Genomic DNA, 18,467 nt, shown 5'->3' with positions numbered 1-18,467 from the left:
TTTTCCATGGGTCCCCCGACAGCTCGAGCGCCTTCCTCCCGTGTGGGGAACAGGCCAGTGCCCCCTCACCCCAGCGGCGGTTCTGACCTTGGAGAGAGGGTCCTGGTCGCCCCAGATCAATTTCTCCGGCACCTGGTGCTTCTCAGGCAACAGATGCGGTGGTGGTTCCCTGTCCAAGGCCAGGGGGTCGAGGGTGGCCAGCAGGTGCGTGTGCGGGATCGACAGCTTGAAGCGGCCTAAGGCCCTCGCCATGGTCCCCCAGGACAGCTTGCCGGGACAATACTCGCTGGCGGGGGCGGAGGGTGGCGGCAACTTGCATTCCCTGTCATGGGCTGTCGGGGAGCACCGCGGCGGGGAGGCCATCTCGAAGCCCGGTCCGCCGGTGGCCGCCGACAAGCCTGGATGGGAACGGTGGCGCCGCGCGCCCGCGCCCGCGCCCGCACCAAGCCCTTCGGAGGCGCGCGCTACGCTGGGCCCGCGACTTCGCTGCCTCCTCGCCCGCTGGGTGAAAACTAGTGCCACCCCGCGCAGCACAGGTTACCTATAGAAAAATGGGCTTTGCAGCCGGGCGCGGTGGCTCACGCCTGTAATCCCGGCACTTTGGGAGGCCGAGGCGGGCGGATTACCTGAGGTCAGGAGTTGGAGACCAGCCTGGCCAACAGGTTTAGTGAAACCCCATCTTTACTTAAAAAAAATAATAACAAAAATTAGCCAGGCATGGGGGCGTGCGCCTGTAGTTCCAGCTACATGGGAGGCTGAGGCAGGGGAATGGCTTGAACCCAGGAGGTGGAGGTTGCAAAAAAAAGAAAAATGGGCTTTGCATTCTGGGAACCAGGCCGAGCCAGCAAAACCAGCACCCCAGCCTCCAGCCCTCCGCTGTGGTTTCCCTGGCTCCTGTCACAGGGCAATTTCTTCATGTCCTCTGCCTGGGTACAGCTCCTGGCCAACCCACTTCATGACAAAACAGAAAAGGTCAGTAAGTTATGGGGTAGCCCCTGCATGAAATAAGATGCAGTTATTAGGGGTGGGTTTACAACATTTATAATAGATGAGGGAAATATCTGTCACAACCCCAACAACAGTGACAGGGAATAAAATGCTACCACCAGTCAGATAACAGCCCCATAGCTAGAAAAGGACAGGGTGGAATTATTCAAAATATTGAAGAAGGGTGTCATCTTTGGATGATAAAACTAAAAGTGATTTTCTTCCTTCTTTTTTTTTTTTTTTTTTTTTGGTGGAGACAAGAGTCTGTCACCCAGGCTGGATTGCAGTAGCGCAATTTCGGCTCACTGCAACCTCCACCTCCAGGGTTCAAAGGATTCTCGTGCCTCAGCCTCCCACACAGCTGGGATTACAGGTGTATGCTCACCAGACCTGGCTAATTTTTTTGTATTTTTAGTAGAGACAAGGTTTCGCCATGTTGGCCAGGCTGTTTTTGAACTCCTGGCCTCAAGTGATCCGCTGGCCTCGGCCTCCCAAAGTGCTGGGATTACAAGCATGGGCCACCGCACCCGGCCTCTTCCTTCTTTCTGCTTTTAAAATTGTTGTGATCTATGATGCTACTTTCATAATGTAAAATACAAATGCTCAATACTTTATTTTTTGTGGAGACAGGGGTCTCTATGTGGCCCAGGCTGGTCTGGAATTCCTGGGCTCAAGCAATCCTCCCGCCTCGGCCTCCCAAAGCTCTGGGATTACAGGCATTAGCCATCACACCTGGTCTGCACTTTATTTTTCAAAAAGGTCTCCTTGGTACACATGAGGTGGCCTCAGAGCAGGGAGCTGCAGCCGTGTAACCCAGGCTGTGGGTGCACATTCTCCTGCCTGGTTTCCCTGCCTGTCTCAGACACTTTAGTGACATCTACCCTGAGAGGCTGAGGCCCCCTGCCAGGCCCTGGCTCTGCCCTCCCATGGGGCTTCCTGGGCACCAACAGTAACCCAGCCACCCAGAGAGGGAAGAGCTTCACTCCCAAAAAACGGCAGGAGGGGCCGCAACCGCCCCTTCTCACACGCTTGTCCTTCAGTGAGTCCAGGCTGTCTTCATCACAAAACCAGAGAGAAGCCTTCACTTTTAACTTCTTTTTTAACGTCCCAGGAAATTTTTTAAAAATCAAGAAGAAAATAGAAAAATTCCACTTTAATTAAACTGTTCAGTCTGGATTTTTTTCCCCCGATACTAACTGAAATTAAAAATAGAAATCAATTTCTGCGACCTTTCAAGGCAGTCTTTGAAATGTCAAGGTTTTAAAAATTATTTTACAGCAGGAATTTACATATAAATACACTCTGTACAATGCGTTAACTGAACAATCACTGGGCTTCCATCATGGAGGAGAAATGATTCTAGGACGAGCCAGGGCAGCATTCAATTACTGCCTTCTTAGTGGAAGACTTTTCAGCCTGGAAAAGAAAACAGAAAAGAGAGAAATGGAAAGTTAGCTAAAGTGAAAAACCAAACAGCTCCGTGGAGGCTGAGAATGCCAGGCCTCCCCATATCACAGCAGCATGTCTGCACCTACAAAATGCACTCACAATAACCCACAATGAAGTACTGCCTAATCTGTGCTTTTTTTTTTTTTTCCCCCGAGATGGAGTCTCACTTTTGTCGCCCAGGCTGGAGCGCAGTGGTGCGATCTCAGCTCACTGCAACCTCCGCCTCCCAGGTTTAAGCAAGTCTCCTGCCTCAGCCTCCAGAGTAGCTGGGATTACAGGCACATGCCACCATACCCAGCTAATTTTTGTATTTTTAGTACAGATGGGGTTTCACCATGTTGGCCAGGCTTGTTTCGAACTCCTGACTGTGATCTGCCCGCCTCGGCCTCCCAAAGTGCTGGGATTACAGGCATGAGCCACCGTACCCGGCCAATCTGTGTTCTTAAAATGCTTCTTCTATTACCCTGAAAACACACAGAGACTCACTCACCCACACCTCGTATTAAGACCACTTATAAAAGCAACTTTTTTCCCTAGTCTTATTTAGCCTTGAGAATACAAGCAATTTTTAATCTCAGTTTCACTCACCTACCGCATCCGTTGCATGACCCTTGGGAAGGAACTAAAATACATTCACTCCAGGGCCCAAAGCATCCAAGTTGTCTTTTTTTTTTTTTTAATTTTTTTATAGAGACAGGGTCTCCCTATATTACCCGAGCTGGTCTTGAACTCCTGGGCTCAAGCGATCCTCCCATCTTGACCTCCCAAGGTATTGGGATTACAGGCATGAGCCACCATGCCCAGCCCCCAAGTTGTCAGTCTTAAATCTGAATTTCTTTTCTTTTTTTTTTTTTGAGACAGAGTCTCTGTCACCCAGGCTGGAGTACAGTGGCGCGATCTCGGTTCACTGCAACCTCCACCTCCCAGGTTCAAGCGATTCTCCTGCCTCCACCTCCTGAGTAGCTGGGACTACAGGCACGTGCCACCACGCCTGGCTAGTTTTTTTAGTAGAGATGGGGTTTGGGGTTTCATTGTGTTAACCAGGATAGTCTCGATTTCCTGACCTCATGATCCGCCTGCCTCGGCCTCCCAGAGTGCTGGGATTACAGACGTGAGATACCGCACCTGGCCTAAATCTGAATTTCATACATATAGGAATGTTCGTGGCAGTTCTATTTGAAACAGAGCTGGGTCACACTGGCTGAAAATCCCTGCTCCACAGACTCAAAGTAAAAAACCCAGTATCCACACAACAGAAGAGATAAACATACCGTGGTGTGCTCACAAGAAGGAATCTTCCACAGCAATGACTACAAGCCCCTCACTGCTGCCTACCATCATCTGAAGGAATCTCAGAAGCCAGACACTCAAAGAATTCACACAACACCCTTCTTCCCAATAAAGATAAAACTGGCAAGAGCAGGCCTGCGCAGCGGCTCACGCCTGAGGCTGAGGCAGGAGGATCACTTGAGGCCAGGAGTTCGAGACCAGTTTGGGCAACATAGGAGATCCCATCTCTACAAAAAAGATTTTTTTAGGCCGGGTGTGGTGGCTCACGCCTGTAATCCCGGCACTTTGGGAGGCCAAGGCAGGCGGATCACCAGGTCAGGAGATTGAGACCATCCTGGCTAACACGGTGAAACCCCGTCTCTACTAAATATACAAAAAATTAGCTGGACGTGGTGGCGGGTACCTGTAGTCCCAGCTACTCAGGAGGCTGAGGCAGGAGAATGGCGTGAACCCAGGAGGTGGAGCTTGCAGTGAGCCAAGATCGCGCCACTGCACTCCAGCTTGGGTGACAGAGCAAGACTCTGTCTCAAAAAAAATGATTTTTTAAAAAAATTAGCTGGGTGTGGTGGTGCACACTTACAGTCCCAGCTACTCTGAAGGCTGAGGTGGGAGGATCCCTTGAGCCGGAGAGGCAGAGTTTACAGTGAGCTGTGATCAGGCCACTGCACTCCAGCCTGGGTCACAGAGCGAGACTCTGTCTCAAAAAATAAAATAAAATTCATACCCTATAAATATATGCTATATAAAATTATATTACTTATATTTAAAATGTGCACAAAAATCTGTATATAGGCCAGGCATGGTGGTTCACACCTGTAATCCTGGCACTCAGAGGCCAAGGTGGGTGTATCACCTGAGGTCAGGAGTTTGAGACCAGCCTGGCCAACATGACGAAACACTGTCTCTACTAAAAAAATACAAAATACAAAAATTAGCTGGGTGTGGGGGCGGGTGCCTGTAATCCCAGTTGCTTGGGAGGCTGAGGTAGGAGAACTGCTTGAACCCGGGAGGCAGAGGTTGCACTGAGCCAAGATCGCACCACTGCACTCCAGCCTGGGTGACAGAACGAGACTCGTCTAAAAAAGAAACAAACAATGTGTATGTGCATCCATGTACGTGAGTGTGTATGTGTGTGTGTGTGGTTGCACAAAAAAGGTCTTAAAGGTTACATATGAAACTGATGGCAGAAGTTACTGTGGAGAAAGTAGAGGTTTGGAGAACTAGTCAGGGCTCCTTTAAGCATTGGCTGTAAGGTCTGAATTTTCTTTTCTTTTTTTTTTTTTTTTTATTGAGACAAGAGTCTCGCTCTGTCGCCCAGGCTGGAGGGCAGTGGCACAATCTCGGCTCACTGCAAGCTCCGCCTCCCAGGTTGACGCCATTCTCCTGCCTCAGCCTCCCCAGCAGCTGGAACTACAGGCACACGCTCCACGCCCAGCTAATTTTTGTATTTTTAGTAGAGACGGGGTTTCTCTGTGTTAGCCAGGATGGTCTCGAGCTCCTGACCTTGTGATCCACCCGCCTCGGCCTCCCAAAGTGCTGGGATTACAGGCATGAGCCACCGCGCCTGGCCTGAATTTTCATAATGATAATATATTCACATATCACTTACATAATTAGATATTCAAACTTTTTAAAAAGCCTAGTTAATACACACATTTTTTTTTTTCTTTTAGGGAGAGGGTCTTGCTCTATCACCCAGGCTGGAGTGTAGTGGTACGATAGTGGCTCACTGCAACCTCCAACTCCCGGGCTCAACAGATCCTCCCACCTCAGCTTCCCAAATAGCTGGAGGCACAGGTGTGCACCACCACGCCCAGCTAATTTGTTTTTTGTTTGTTTGTTTGTTTGTTTTTGTAGAGCTGGGGTCTCACTATGTTGCCCAGGCTGGTCTCAAACTCCTGGGCTCAAGCGATCCTCCTGCCTCAGCCTCCCAAAGTGCTGGGATTATAGGCGTGAGCCACTGCACCCGGCCTACCAGTTTTTCATTTCTGATATTTGCCTCTAAGCAAACACATCAAGCACTCAATAAGCCTCTAAAGGTTTCTGAAAAACCCTCCATCTCCCACTACCCACCGTCTCAGCAGCTCCTGGGGCGACACGTCTGCGGTTTCCTCGTCACTCTGGCTGTCGCTGCTGTCGGAACTCTCGGAGCTACTACTTTTCTCTGGTTTTTTATTCTTTTGCTTGCCTTTGTGTTTGTGCTTCCTGTGTTTCTTTTTCTGTAAAAAACAAATAGTGGTGGGGGAAAACAAATGTATTTTTTCCTCCTTAATTCAATACAATGAAAGGTTAACAAGGCTGCAGTGATGGAGTCATTCAAAAAAATGTTTAAACCTCATTTAGAGTGAGTGAGAGTGAGAGCCTAACAAGACAGCACAGGGCAGACGGCTGTGCCACTCTCAACTGCGCACCCTGACCCAGCTGCGCCTCCAGCAACAGACACAGCAGAACCAAGAAGGCGCAGACAGGACCTATCGTAACACTTGGTGTCATAAGACGTGACACCACACATCTTATGCATGGTGACCTGTGCCACCTCCGGTGAACCTGACTTGTTTATTTTGTCAGACCCCTGGGAAACTTCATGTCAGGATGACGGGCACCCAGGAAAACCACAAGGAAGAAACTGGCAGAAGGTTACCGAACAGCAGATACACTGGTAAGGACACACAGATTTGGTCGGCACACATTTTCTTCCTTTCACTAGGAGGGAACGCCCGTCATCCGCCATACGTGGGAGTGCTTCCCTCTGGTGGCCAGTAAGGAAACTGTTTCTAATTTCTTCAGCACCTAGCCCAGACTACTTTGGGTACCCAACAAGAACATTAACCTAATTAAAAGCCTGTGCTGAAACCCAAAAGAAGACATGGTTGATGAAATAAGAGACGTCAACAGTGGGAGCACATGCCTGCCTTCCATTCGAATTCTTTTACTTCAAACGGCAAGTGACGGACTAAAATCTCAAACTAATAAAGACAAAGTAGCTGAGAAATGCTGAAAATAATACCTTCACTTAACATTGAATAAATAAGAAATAAATTGTTTTATTATTTAATATTCACCCATTGCTCTAAGATCCCTAAATGCCCTTTTTTCTGCTTTTTAATGTTCACAAAAAAAGTTTTTTTAAGGGCTGGGCATGGTGCCTCATGCCTGTAATCGCGGCACTTTGGGAGGTAGATCACCGGAGGTCAGGAGGTCAAAACCAGCTTGGCCAACATGGTGAAACCCCATCTCTACTAAAAATACAAAAAATTAGCCGGGTGTGGTGGTGCACACCTGTGGTCCCAGCTACTCAAGAGGCTGAAGCAGGAGAATTGCTTGAACCCAGGAGGTAGAGGTTGCAGCTGAACTCCATCCACCCTAGGCAACAGAGTGAGACTCCATCTCAAAAAAAAAAAAAGCGGGGGGGCGTTTAAGTGCAAAAGAAAATGTTTCTGAAAAATCAAGCATTTGAATTGAATGTCAACATTTCTGTTAAGTCTCAGAGAGAACTGTGACTTGGCCACCAGATCCGCTCTTCAGCTGCAGTATATGACACTCCTGGGGGCTGACCAGCGGGTCCCACCCCACACTGATCCTGGGGTACACACAAGTCTCTCACCTTCTCTTTCTTCCGCCTGTGCTCTTTCTTGGCCTTGTGCTTGTCTTTGTTCTTTTTATGTTTCTCTTTTTGAGGAACCTCAAGTGTCTGACGAGCATCTGAAACACAAAGGTAATAAACACAGGACCTATATAGCACGAAAACAAAGACTATCCAAAACTAAGCTCCTAAACTGCTGAATCAGGCATCTAGTGTAGATGGAATGTTTAACACTGAGGAAGAACTCCTGCCCTTGGATTAGCTTCTGCCTCACTGAGAAACAGATTAGCACACCACCTTGCAGAGTTGTACTTAGAAAGCTGTCAGAGACCTCAACAAAGACCTGTGTGATCCAATCAGTATCCTGCCGTGACCCCAGCTGCCAGATGCAGATAAAGTCGGACCAGAAAGCCCACAAAGCCTTTTGTAATCCAACATCATCAGATAAGCTCAGAAACAGACCAAAATTGGAACTCAGCTCTGCTGCCAGCACTGTGATCTTCGACACGTCGCCTAACCTCTCCCACGCCCAGTTTCCCCAACTATAAAATGGGGACAATAAGAATCCCAATCCTTTTAGGGACACAGACTAGACTAGACAGGGCCATGTCCATGATTCTCGAAGCTCAGAATCTGGCACCTAAATGTTAGCTCTTCTTATATCCTCCTCTCTCTACAAAAACGTATTTTATAAGAATTTGTCTTACAAGTGGAAACACTGAAAAAACTACCATCAAAACAACATAATGGGCTGGGAGCGGTGGCTCATGCCTGTAATCCCAACACTTTGGGAGGCCCAGGCAGGAGGATCCTTGACCTCAGGAGTTCAAGGCCAGCCTGGGCAACATAGTGAGACCCTATCTCTACCTAACTTTAAAAAATAATAATAATGTATATAATCATTAAAAATCATTAAAGAATTTGCATGTGCCTCAATTCTCCATCTCCAAATTCAGACCAAAATGTTTTCATAGGTCATTAATTTCTGGGTAACTAAATCAACAAAATTTCACAATAGTAGAAGCAGTGAAAGGCATTAAATCAATTTTTTTCACCTAAAGAAAAGTTTCGGCCAGGAACGGTGGCTCATGCCTGTAATCCCAGCACTTTGGGAGGCTGAGGTGGGCGGATCACTTGAGGTCAGGAGTTCAAAATCAGCTTGGCCAACACGGTGAAACCCTGTCTCTATTAAAAATGCAAAAATTAGATGGGCGTGGTGGCATGCATCTGTAATCCCCACTACTCAGGAGGCTGAGGCAGGAGAATCACTTGAACCCAGGAGGCAGAGGCTGCAGTGAGCCGAGATCGTGCTACACTCCAGCCTGGGTGACAGAGCAAGAATCCTTCTCAAAAGAAAAAAAAGAAAAAAAGAAAAAAAAAAGGAAAGTTTCAAGATGTTTTGTAAGGGTGAATATTTTCTCAACTCAGTTAACAGATGCCTGCAATTTTGTAGTCCTATTTCTTTATTTATTTTTTTTTTTAGGTTCTCGCTCTGTCTCCCAGACTGGTGGGCAATGGTGCAATCACAGCTCATTACAGCCTTGACCTCGGTTCACATATCCTCCTACCTCGGCTTCCCGAGTAGCTGGGACTACAGGCATGTACCACCATACCCGGCTAATTTTTTAATTTTTTTGTGGAAGTGAGAGTCTCCCTATGTTGCCAAGGCTGTTATCGAACTTTTGGACTCAAGGGATCCTCTGACCTTAGCCTCCCAAAGTGCTGGGATTACATGTGTGAGCTACCATGCCCAACCAGATTTTTCAAAATTCAACCTCCCAAAACTTTTTTTTTTTCCAAAATTCTTTTAATTTTTTTTTTTTGAGACAGAGTTTCACTCTTGTTGCCCAGGCTGGAGTGCAATGGTGCGATCTCAGCTCACCCCAACCTCTGCCTCTCAGGTTCAAGCGATTCTCCTGCCTCAGCCTCCCAAGTAGCTGGGATTACAGCCATGTGCCACCATGCCTGGCTAATTTTGTATTTTTAGTAGAGATAGGGTTTTTCCATGTTGGTCAGGCTGGTCCCAAACTCCCAACCTCAGGTGATCCGCCCACCTTGGCCCCCACAAAGTGCTGGGATTACAGGCGTGAGCCACCGTGCCCAGCTATTTATTTATTTATTTATTTATTTATTTATTTATTTATTTATTTTTGAGACAGCATCTCGCTTTGTCACCCAGGCTGGAGTGCAGCAGTGGGATCATAGCTCACTGTAGCCTCCACCTCCTGAGCTCAAGCAATCCTCCCACTTCAGCCTCCTGAGTAGCTGGGACCACAGGCATGTACCACCACACCAGGCTAATTTTTTTCTTTTTTATTTTTTTAAGAGATACAATCTCTCTATGTTGCCCAGGCTGGCCTCAAACTCCTAGACTCAAGTAATTTTCCCACCTCAGCTTTCCAAAGTGCTAAGATTATAGGCGTGAGCCACCGCACTCAGCCCAAAACTTTTTTTTAACACTAGTTTTTTTCAAAAATCATTTCCCTAAATAACCCATAGACCAAATTAAGTCACTATTACGAGGGTATCAAAGACATTATGGTAAAGGGACATAAAAGACTTGGCTTTCAAGTGCTGATACCAGTTTGAAACTAAAGAGCCGGCCGGGCGTGGTGGCTCACGCCTGTAATCCCAGCACTTTGGGAGGTTGAGGCGGGCAGATCACAAGTTCAGGAGATCGAGACCATCCTGGCTAACATGGTGAAACCCCATCTCTACTAAAAATAAAAAAATTAGGCAGGCGTGGTGGCAGGCACCTGTAGTCCCAGCTAGTTGGGAGGCTGAGGCAGGAGAACGGCGTGAACCTGGGAGGCGCAGCTTGCAGTGAGCCAAGATTGCGCCACTGCACTCCAGCCTGGGTGACAGAGCGAGACTCCGTCTCAAAAAAAAAAAAAAAAGAAACTAAAGGGCCGAACAACCAGGCCACAGTGGCTCACGACCGTAATCCCAACACTTTGGGAGGCTGAGGCAGGTGGATCACTTGAGGTTAGAAGTTCAAGACCAGCCTGACCAACATGGTAAAACCCCGTCTCTACTAAAAATACAAAAAATTAGCCAGGCACCTGTAATCCCAGTTACTCCAGAGGCTGAGGAAGGAGAATCACCTGAACTTGGGAGGTGGAGGATGCAGTGAGCCGAGATCGCGCCACTGCACTCCAGACTGGGTGACAGAGTGAGACTCTGTCTCAAAACAAAACAAAATAAAACAAAAGTGCTGAACAACTATAGCAAATAAGAAATACATTCACTGCAATTTGTCAAAACTTCATACTTTTTTTCTCTGCTTTTTAATCCTGTCTTTGAAAGCAGTTAGCTAATCAAACCAGTATTCACATATGGGCACCATGAGAAACTATAAAGTGAATAATGATATTTTTATGTTAGTTATATATCTGGGCCATGTTATAGATGTTTGTAAACCCAGCCCTCAAAGAGATGATAAACCAGTGTAAATGTTTTAACTTGAAATGCCAATTTAAGATGCAACTAAATGGAAGTTGTTGACAGATATTTGGGGAACAGAATGGGGGATAGATTGTATTTACTTCTGAGAGGACCATTTTATTGTATTTGCTACATTAGCTAAAGTAAAAAGGAGACTTGGCGGCCGGGTGCGGTGGCTCACGCCTAAAATCCCAGCACATTGGGAGGCTGAGGCGGGCAGATCACCTCAGGTCAGGAGTTCGAGACCAGCCTGACCAATATGGAGAAACCCCATCTCTACTAAAAATACAAAATTAGCCAGCCATGGTGGCACATGCCTGTAATCCCAGCTACTTGGGAGGGTGAGGTAGGAGAATCGCTTGAACCCAGGAGGTGGAGGTTGCGGTGAGCCGAGATTGCGCCATTGCACTCCAGCCTAGGCAACAAGAGCAAAACTCCATCTCAAAAAAAAAAAAAAAAGAAAAGAAAAGAAAAAGAAAAAGACAAAAAAAGGAGGCTTGGCTGCGTGCAGTGGTTCACGCTTGTAATTCCAGCACTGTGGGAGGTTGAAGTGGGTGGATCACTTCAGCCCAGAAGTCATGCAGTGAGCTATGACAGCACCACTACACTCCAGCCTAGGTGACAGAGTGAGACCCTGTCTGAAAAATAAATAAATAAATAAATAAAATTTTAAAAATATATTAGTCTTAAATACTCTTCTTGCAATTCCCCTCCAATTTTGTATACTATTTTTTTAATTTCTCTTTTTCTTTTTTAATTTTTTTTAAATTAATTAATTTATTTATTTTTTGAGACGGAGTCTTGCTCTGTCGCCCAGGCTGGAGTGCAGTGGTGCGATCTTGGCTCACTGCAAGCTCCGCCTCCCAGGTTCACGCCCTTCTTCTGCCTCAGCCTCCCCAGCAGCTGGGACTACAGGCACATGCCACCACGTCCGGCTAATTTTTTTGTATTTTTAGTACAGATGGGGTTTCACCGTGTTAGCCAGGATGGTCTCGATCTCCTGATCTCGTGATCTGCCCACCTCGACCTCCCAAAGCGCTGGGATGACAGGCGTGAGCCACCGTGCCCACCCTTTTTTTTTAAATAGAGATGGGTCTCCCTGTGTCACCCAGGCTGGGCTTGTCTCGGACTACTGGGCTCAAGCGATCTGTCTGCCTTGGCCTCCCAAACTGCTATTACAAGTATGAGCCACCGCACCCAGCCTCTTTTACCTTTTTTTTTTTTTTTTTTTGAGACAGAGTCTTGCTCTGTCACCCAGACTGGAGTGCAGTGGCGCGATCTCGATCTCGGCTCACTGCAACCTTTGCCTCTCAGGTTCAAATGATTCTGGTGCCTCAGCCTCCTTACTAGCTGGGATTACAGGCACACACCACCATGCCTGGCTAATTTTTATATTTTATATTTTTATAAAATTTTAATGTATAAAAATATATAATTTTATATATAATTTTATATATCATTTTTATGTATAAAATATATAATTTTATATATAATTTTTATATATAATTGTTATATATAAAAAATTATAAAAATATATTAAAATTTATAAAATATCTAAATATATATATTTATATGAATATATTTTAATATGTATTTATATATGAATATATATTTATTTTAAATATTTACATATTTTATTTAAATATATTTAGAAATATATTTAAATTAAGTTAAAATATATTTATTTTAAATATTTAAATTTATATTTTATATATATATAAGTATAAATATATAAAATATAAATATATAAATATATAAATATATAAAATATATAAAATATAATATATAAATATATAAAATATATAAATTTGTAAAATATATAAAATTTATAAAATATAAAAATATATATAATTTTTATATATAAAATATATAATTTTGTATTTTATATTTTTATAAAATTTTATAATTTTTATAAAAATTATAGTAGAGATGGGCTTTCACCAAATTCACCAGGGTGGTCTCAAACTCCTGACCTCAAGCAATCCTCCCACCTCGCCCTCCCAAAGTGCTGGGATAACAGGTGTGAGCCACCAGCCCAGCTAGAGCCATTGTGCCTGGCTGCAGCCCCTTTTTTTTTTTTTTGAGGCAGAGTCTCACTCAGTCACCTGGGCTGGAGTGCAATGGTGCAATATCGGCTCACTGCAACCTCCACCTCCCGGGTTCAAGCGATTCTTCTGCCTCAGCCTCCAGAGTAGCTGGGACTACAGGCGTGCGTCACTACGCCCAGGTAATTTTTGTATTTTTAGTAGAGACGGGGTTTCACTATGTTGGCCAGAATGGTCTCGATCTCTTGACCTCGTGATCCGCCCACCTCGGCCTCCCAAAGTGCTGGGATTACAGGCATGAGCCACTGTGCCCGGCCAGGCTCTTTTTCTTTAAGCTCTGTTGGGAAACTTATATTTCTATAACAAAACTTAAGATACTTAGGACCCTCCTGTAAACATGTGGCAGGTAAAGGAAATAAAGTTTGGAGGTCTCTGAAGGTGTATAGAAACAACTATCATTTCAGGCACTAGGTGGAGACAACGGGTTTAAAATATGACTGAAAACATATAAACCAGAAGCAAGCACGTATGTTTGGTCGGCTCTAAGTCACACTGTCCCCATCTCAGGGCAATCACACACTGATAAAAATGGGCGAACCAAAGGGCTCTGCACTCACTGGGGCAGAAGACGGGAGGCAGCCGCGGGCCGAACTCTTCTCTTTCATCTATCTGCATCTTTTGTATCGGGAAGGAAGGTGGCGGCTCCTGGGGTGCTGGCACAAGAGCTGAAAAACAGCGGGGTGTTCATGTCATTCGTCTGCCCCATGTTAATGTCTCTGAGTCTTTCATTCATGTCTTTTGCCACCAGATAACATATGCTTGCCCACACCACTTCACTCCTGCCAGGTGCTAAGGATGCAGCAGTGAACACGCAGACCCCGGTGCTGCCCTTGTGAACTCCAGAGCTGGAAGTCAGTCACACGAGGGCACCTGCAACCAAGGGCAGCAATGGCTGAGGTACAGCGTGCCAAGTGCACCCGTGGGCACGTAGCCTAGCGCCCCTAAGACCTGAAAAGTAGAAATGTGTCCCCAAGAAAGGGCCATCTGAGAAGGAAAATCTTACAAACCATCAGGAATGTAAGACTATGTATGTCCCATCACAGAGAACTGCGGGAGACAAGTTTCACTCAAAATAAATTATCAAAGAAAAAACCTTGAAGATAAATGATCATATTCACGTTAATAATCTTGTTTTTTAAGCAGATTACTATATATTCAGATAGAAGAGATATAAAAATTTTAAAAGTCTGGAAAACTAGCCGGGCACTGGGATTATGCCTGTAATCCCAGCACTTTGGGAGGCTGAGGTGGGCAGATCACCTGAGGTCAGGAGTTAGAGACTAGCCTGGCCAACATGGTGAAACCCCATCTCTACTAAAAATACAAAAATTAGCCAGGGGTGGTGGCACATTCCTGTAGTCCCAGCTACTCAGGAGGCTGAAGTGGGAGGATTGCTTGAGCCCAGGAGGTGGAAGCTGCAGTGAGCCGAAGATTGCGCCACTGTACTCCACCCTGGGGACAGAGCCAGATCCTGTTTCCAAAAAAAAAAAAAAAAAAATTATATACATATAAAAGATTACATATCATTGATTGCTAATCATTCGGGTTTAAGATTATAGAGTAAACAGAGAAGCAGCTGTCCTAGAGTCATTGTCTTCTCCTTTAGATCCCCGAGTCTGAAATACTGACATACCGTGAGCCACAGATGATGTTTCCCCCAAGTCAGTGTCTTGGGAGCTTTGGAAGTTGGCCTCCCCAGAGCCTGCCTGATCATCTTCACTGTCACCTTGCTCATCCTCGGAGGATGAGGACTTTTCATCTGAGGAACTGGCAAAGATGGCCCTGAATAAGTCCATGGATGGGCGGCTCCCTTCTCCTTCAGCCTGTGCGTCCACATCTTTGTTGACGGTCTGTATTGACAGTGAAATAAGAGTCAGGGATACAGAGGCAAGGGTAAAAGGGAGGAGACATTCTAGAATACACTCCCAGACACACATATTTATGTTTATGCTCATGTACATGGGTATCCATAGCCACACACCACCCAACTAAACAGTGATCACTCACATAGCTTCTATTTTTGTGGTGTTTCCGAGTCAACAACTGTACAATGTGCTGATGAGGTCAAAGAAGCAAAACCGGGCCAGGCGTGGTGGCTCACCCCTGTAATTCCAGCACTTTGGGAGGCCTAGGCGGGTGGATCACAAGGTCAGGAGATCGAGACCATCCTGGCCAAAATGGTGAAACCCTGTCTCTACTAAAAGTACAAAAATTAGCTGGGCATGGTGGTGGGCGTCTGTAATCCCAGCTACTAGGATCCCCAAAAATGCAGTAGAGCACTGTGCCTCTGTTCTATTTCCAAACTCAGATTCAGGCAACTTAACAAACCCCAAACAAAATAAACTCAAAAGAATTCACACCCAGATACATCATAATCAAACCGCTAAAATCCAAAGACCAAGTAAAAATCTTGAAAGCAGCTAGGAGAAAAATCACATCATTATGTACAGAGGAATAATAATTTGTTTTGGGGTTTTTTGAGCCAGGGTCTCACTCTGTCACCCAGGCTGGAAAGCAATGGTGCGATCATAGCACACTGCAGTGTTGACCTCCTGGGCTCAAGTGATCCTCCAACCGTAGCCCCTTGAGTAGCTGGGACCACAGGTGCATGCCACCACACCCAACTAGTTTTTTAATTTTTTGTAAAAGATGGGGTCTCACGATGTTGCCCAGGGTAGTCTCAAACTCCTAGCCTCAAACAAGCCCCCTGCCTCAGCCTCCCAAAGTGCTGGGATTATAGATGTGAGCCAACACACCCAGCCTGAGGACAATTTGAATGGTTGAAGATTTCTCATCAGAAATCACGAAACCCCGGAGGAAGTAGCAGTTTAATTTAAAAAAAAATTGGCCATGCGCAGTGGCTCACGCCTGTAATCCCAGCACTTTGGGAGGCCGAGGCGGGTGGATCACGAGGTCAGGAGATCGAGACCATCCTGGCTAACACAGTAAAACCCCGTCTCTACTAAAAATACAAAAAATTAGCCAGGCGTGGTGGCGGGCGCCTGTAGTCCCAGCTACTCGGGAGGCTGAGGCAGGAGAATGGCGTGAACCTGGGAGGTGGAGCTTGCAGTGAGCTGAGATCGCGCCACTGCCCTCCAGCCTGGGTGACAGAGCGAGACTCCGTCTCAAAAAACAAACAAACAAAACAAAACAAAAATTATCAACCCAGAATTCTATATCCAGCAAAAACATCCTTCAGGAATGAAGACAAAATATAAGACATTCTCAGATAATGGCAATTTAAGAGAATCACTTGTTGGAACTGGTCTAAAAGAAATGCTAAAGGAAGTTCCTCAGACAGAAATGATAGGTGAGGGGAACGTGGAACTTCAAGGATGAAGAAAGAGCAACAGAAATAGAAAATATCTGATTAAACAGAGTAGGCTATTGTCTCTGCATCGGTTCTTTTAAAATATGTTTAATGACTAAAAGCAAAAATGATCACCACTGGTTTGATGGCATTTTCATTGTGTGTACATGTAATATGTAAGACAGCATAGAGGGAGGAGAGTAAAAGGACCTACATAGTGCTAAAGCTTCTCTATTCTACTGGAAGTGGTAAAACATTTAATTCTCAGTAGACTGTAAAAAGGTAAGTAGGTATACTATAATCCCTAGAGCAATCACTAAAAAAAAAATACCAAGAGAAAAAAAATAGAAAAATTCAAATGGAATATAAAAATTATTCAAGTAATCCAAAAGAAGGCAGAGAAGGGGAAAAAAAGAAACAAAAAAGAGTGGTAATAAACAGAAAATATAACATCATACACGTAAATCCAAAAATATCCATGATCACATTAAATGCAAATGTCCAATATAAATTATCAAAATGTATTTTAAGAAAGACTCAGTGACACGGTGTTTATAAGAAACCCACTTTAGCCAGGCGCGGTGGCTTATGCCTGTAATCCCAGCACTTTGGGGAGGCTGAGGCGGGCAGATCACCTAAGGTCAAGAGTTTAAGACCAGCCTGACCAACATGGAGAAACCCCGTCTCTACTAAAAATACAAAATTAGCCAGGCATGGTGGTGCCTGCCTGTAATCCCAGCTACTCAGGAGGCTGAGGCAGGGGAATTGCTTGAACCCGGGAGGCAGAGGTTGCGGTGAGCCGAGACAGTGCCATTGTACTCCAGCCTGGGCAAGAAGAGTAAAACTTCATCTCAAAAAAAAAAAAAGAAACCCACTTTAAATATAATGAAACAGATGTGTTAAAAAGAAGATGAAAAAGATATATACTACGCAAACACTAAAGAAAATTACCAGGGATAAAGATGATATTACATAATGTTAAAAGGGTCAACTGGGCATGGTGGCTCACGCCTGTAATCCCAGCACTTTGGGAGGCCAGGGCAGGAGGACTGCTTGAGAGCAGAAGTTTGAGACCAACCTGGAAAAACATAGCAAGGCCCTTTCTCTGAAAAAAAAAAAAAAAAAAAAAAAAAAAAAAATTAGCCAGGCATGGTGGTGTGTGCCCGCAGTCCCAACTACTCAGGAGGCTGAGGCAGGATTGCTTGAACCTGGGCGTTCGAGCCTGCAGTGAGCCATTATCACAACACTGCACTCCAGCCTGGGCACAGAGTAAAAGCCGGTGTCAGAGAAAAAAAAAAAAAGATCAATTCACTGAAAAGAAATAGCAATCCCAGTTCAAGACCAGCCTGGCCAACATGGTGAAACCCCATCTCTACTAAACATACAAAAATTAGCCAGGCATGGTGGTGCGCACCTGTAGTCCCATCTACTTGGGAAGCTGAGGCAGGAGAATCACTTGAACCCGGGAGGGGAGGCAGAGCTTGCAGTGAGCCGAAATCATGCCACTGCACTCCAGCCTGGGGGACAGACCAAGACTCCATCTCAAAAAAAAAAAAAAAAAAAAAAAGAGAGAAATAGCAATCCTAAATGTATATACACCTAAGAAGTGCACTTCAAAATACATAAGGCAAAAATAACTTTGGAATACAGTTTGACAGCTTCTTATAAAGTTAAATATACATGTACATATTTTCCAGGATTCCCACTACTAGGTTTGTACTCTACAGAAATGAAAACTTATATTCACACAAAAACTTGCACATGAATGCTCCCAGCAGCTTTACTTGTTATAGCCAAAAGTTAGAAACAAGCCAAATGGCCTTTAAGGGGAAATGGATCAATAGTTGGCTGCCTCTGCTGGTGAGTCACGAGGAGAAAGTGTCACCAAAGAGAAAAGCAAGGGCCACACTCAGCGTGGCAAAGAGAATCTGGAAGCCCCAAATACCTGATTTGCGGATAATTCTGGTGCATGCTCTTCCTCTTTGTTTACTAAGGGGCTGGACTGTTGTTTAGGTGGCTCGGCTTTTGATCTAGCCAAACTTAAAAATTCACTAATGGAATCTTCTTTCTTTTCGTGTTTAGAGGTATCCCATCTGGATGGTTTTCTTGATTCTGAAAGGCAGGACATAGATATAAACTCCAGCATTAGCAAGGAAAAGGCCAGTTCTTCACCACTGCTCTTTCATTCACTCAGAATGTCAGCGTGCCTACTAGGGGCCTGGCACTGTGTAGGGTCCTGGGGAGGTAGGTGGCAGAGGCAGAGACAGAGCCCCAACCCCAAAGAGTAAACATCTGGACC

The 18,467-nt window shown here is 45.3% G+C and overlaps 2 protein-coding genes across 7 annotated transcripts in view, besides 4 other annotated features; both read right to left on the bottom strand.

The window, feature by feature from the left end:
- The window catches only part of WDR88 (WD repeat domain 88), a 43,686-nt gene extending 43,267 nt beyond the window's left edge, over positions 1–419 (bottom strand). For all 5 annotated transcript variants that reach the window (NR_135565.2, XR_007066581.1, XM_011526449.3 and 2 more), the window contains exon 1: positions 88–419. Coding sequence is in view for 3 of the 5 variants with exons in the window: in XM_011526449.3 (XP_011524751.1) it covers positions 88–363 (276 nt within the window). In the remaining 2 variants the exon portion in view is untranslated. The remainder of the gene's footprint in view (positions 1–87) is intronic.
- Positions 413–582: an enhancer, noted in NCBI's record as "experimental_51096 CRE fragment used in MPRA reporter constructs". NCBI's record gives its function as "activates a minimal promoter by MPRAs in K562 erythroleukemia cells, with activity observed for both the introgressed and non-introgressed 19:33622942 variant alleles {active_cell/tissue: K562}" and the evidence as "EXISTENCE:reporter gene assay evidence [ECO:0000049][PMID:34662402]".
- GPATCH1 (G-patch domain containing 1) overlaps positions 1,991–18,467 on the bottom strand; it is a 49,362-nt gene continuing 32,885 nt past the window's right edge. The window contains exons 15-21 of one of the 2 annotated variants that reach the window (NR_135270.2): positions 18,114–18,280; positions 14,866–14,986; positions 14,492–14,708; positions 13,416–13,523; positions 7,331–7,428; positions 5,800–5,945; positions 1,991–2,403 (exon numbers count right to left, since the gene is read on the bottom strand). Coding sequence is in view for 1 of the 2 variants with exons in the window: in NM_018025.3 (NP_060495.2) it covers positions 2,373–2,403; positions 5,800–5,945; positions 7,331–7,428; positions 13,416–13,523; positions 14,492–14,708; positions 18,114–18,280 (767 nt within the window). In the remaining variant the exon portion in view is untranslated. The remainder of the gene's footprint in view (positions 2,404–5,799; positions 5,946–7,330; positions 7,429–13,415; positions 13,524–14,491; positions 14,709–14,865; positions 14,987–18,113; positions 18,281–18,467) is intronic. The other variant, NM_018025.3, reaches the window with a different exon arrangement.
- Positions 3,340–3,484: a silencer, noted in NCBI's record as "fragment chr19:33619955-33620099 (GRCh37/hg19 assembly coordinates)". NCBI's record gives its function as "represses an EF-1alpha promoter that drives an FKBP-Casp9 reporter gene in an ReSE screen in K562 erythroleukemia cells {active_cell/tissue: K562}" and the evidence as "EXISTENCE:reporter gene assay evidence [ECO:0000049][PMID:32094911]".
- Positions 5,051–5,220: an enhancer, noted in NCBI's record as "experimental_51091 CRE fragment used in MPRA reporter constructs". NCBI's record gives its function as "activates a minimal promoter by MPRAs in K562 erythroleukemia cells, with activity observed for both the introgressed and non-introgressed 19:33618304 variant alleles {active_cell/tissue: K562}" and the evidence as "EXISTENCE:reporter gene assay evidence [ECO:0000049][PMID:34662402]".
- Positions 13,914–14,083: an enhancer, noted in NCBI's record as "experimental_51054 CRE fragment used in MPRA reporter constructs". NCBI's record gives its function as "activates a minimal promoter by MPRAs in K562 erythroleukemia cells, with activity observed for the non-introgressed 19:33609441 variant allele {active_cell/tissue: K562}" and the evidence as "EXISTENCE:reporter gene assay evidence [ECO:0000049][PMID:34662402]".

Source organism: Homo sapiens, chromosome 19 (assembly GCF_000001405.40).
Source record: "Homo sapiens chromosome 19, GRCh38.p14 Primary Assembly".
Lineage (NCBI taxonomy): Eukaryota > Metazoa > Chordata > Mammalia > Primates > Hominidae > Homo > Homo sapiens.
This window is presented reverse-complemented; position numbering and strand designations above follow the sequence as displayed.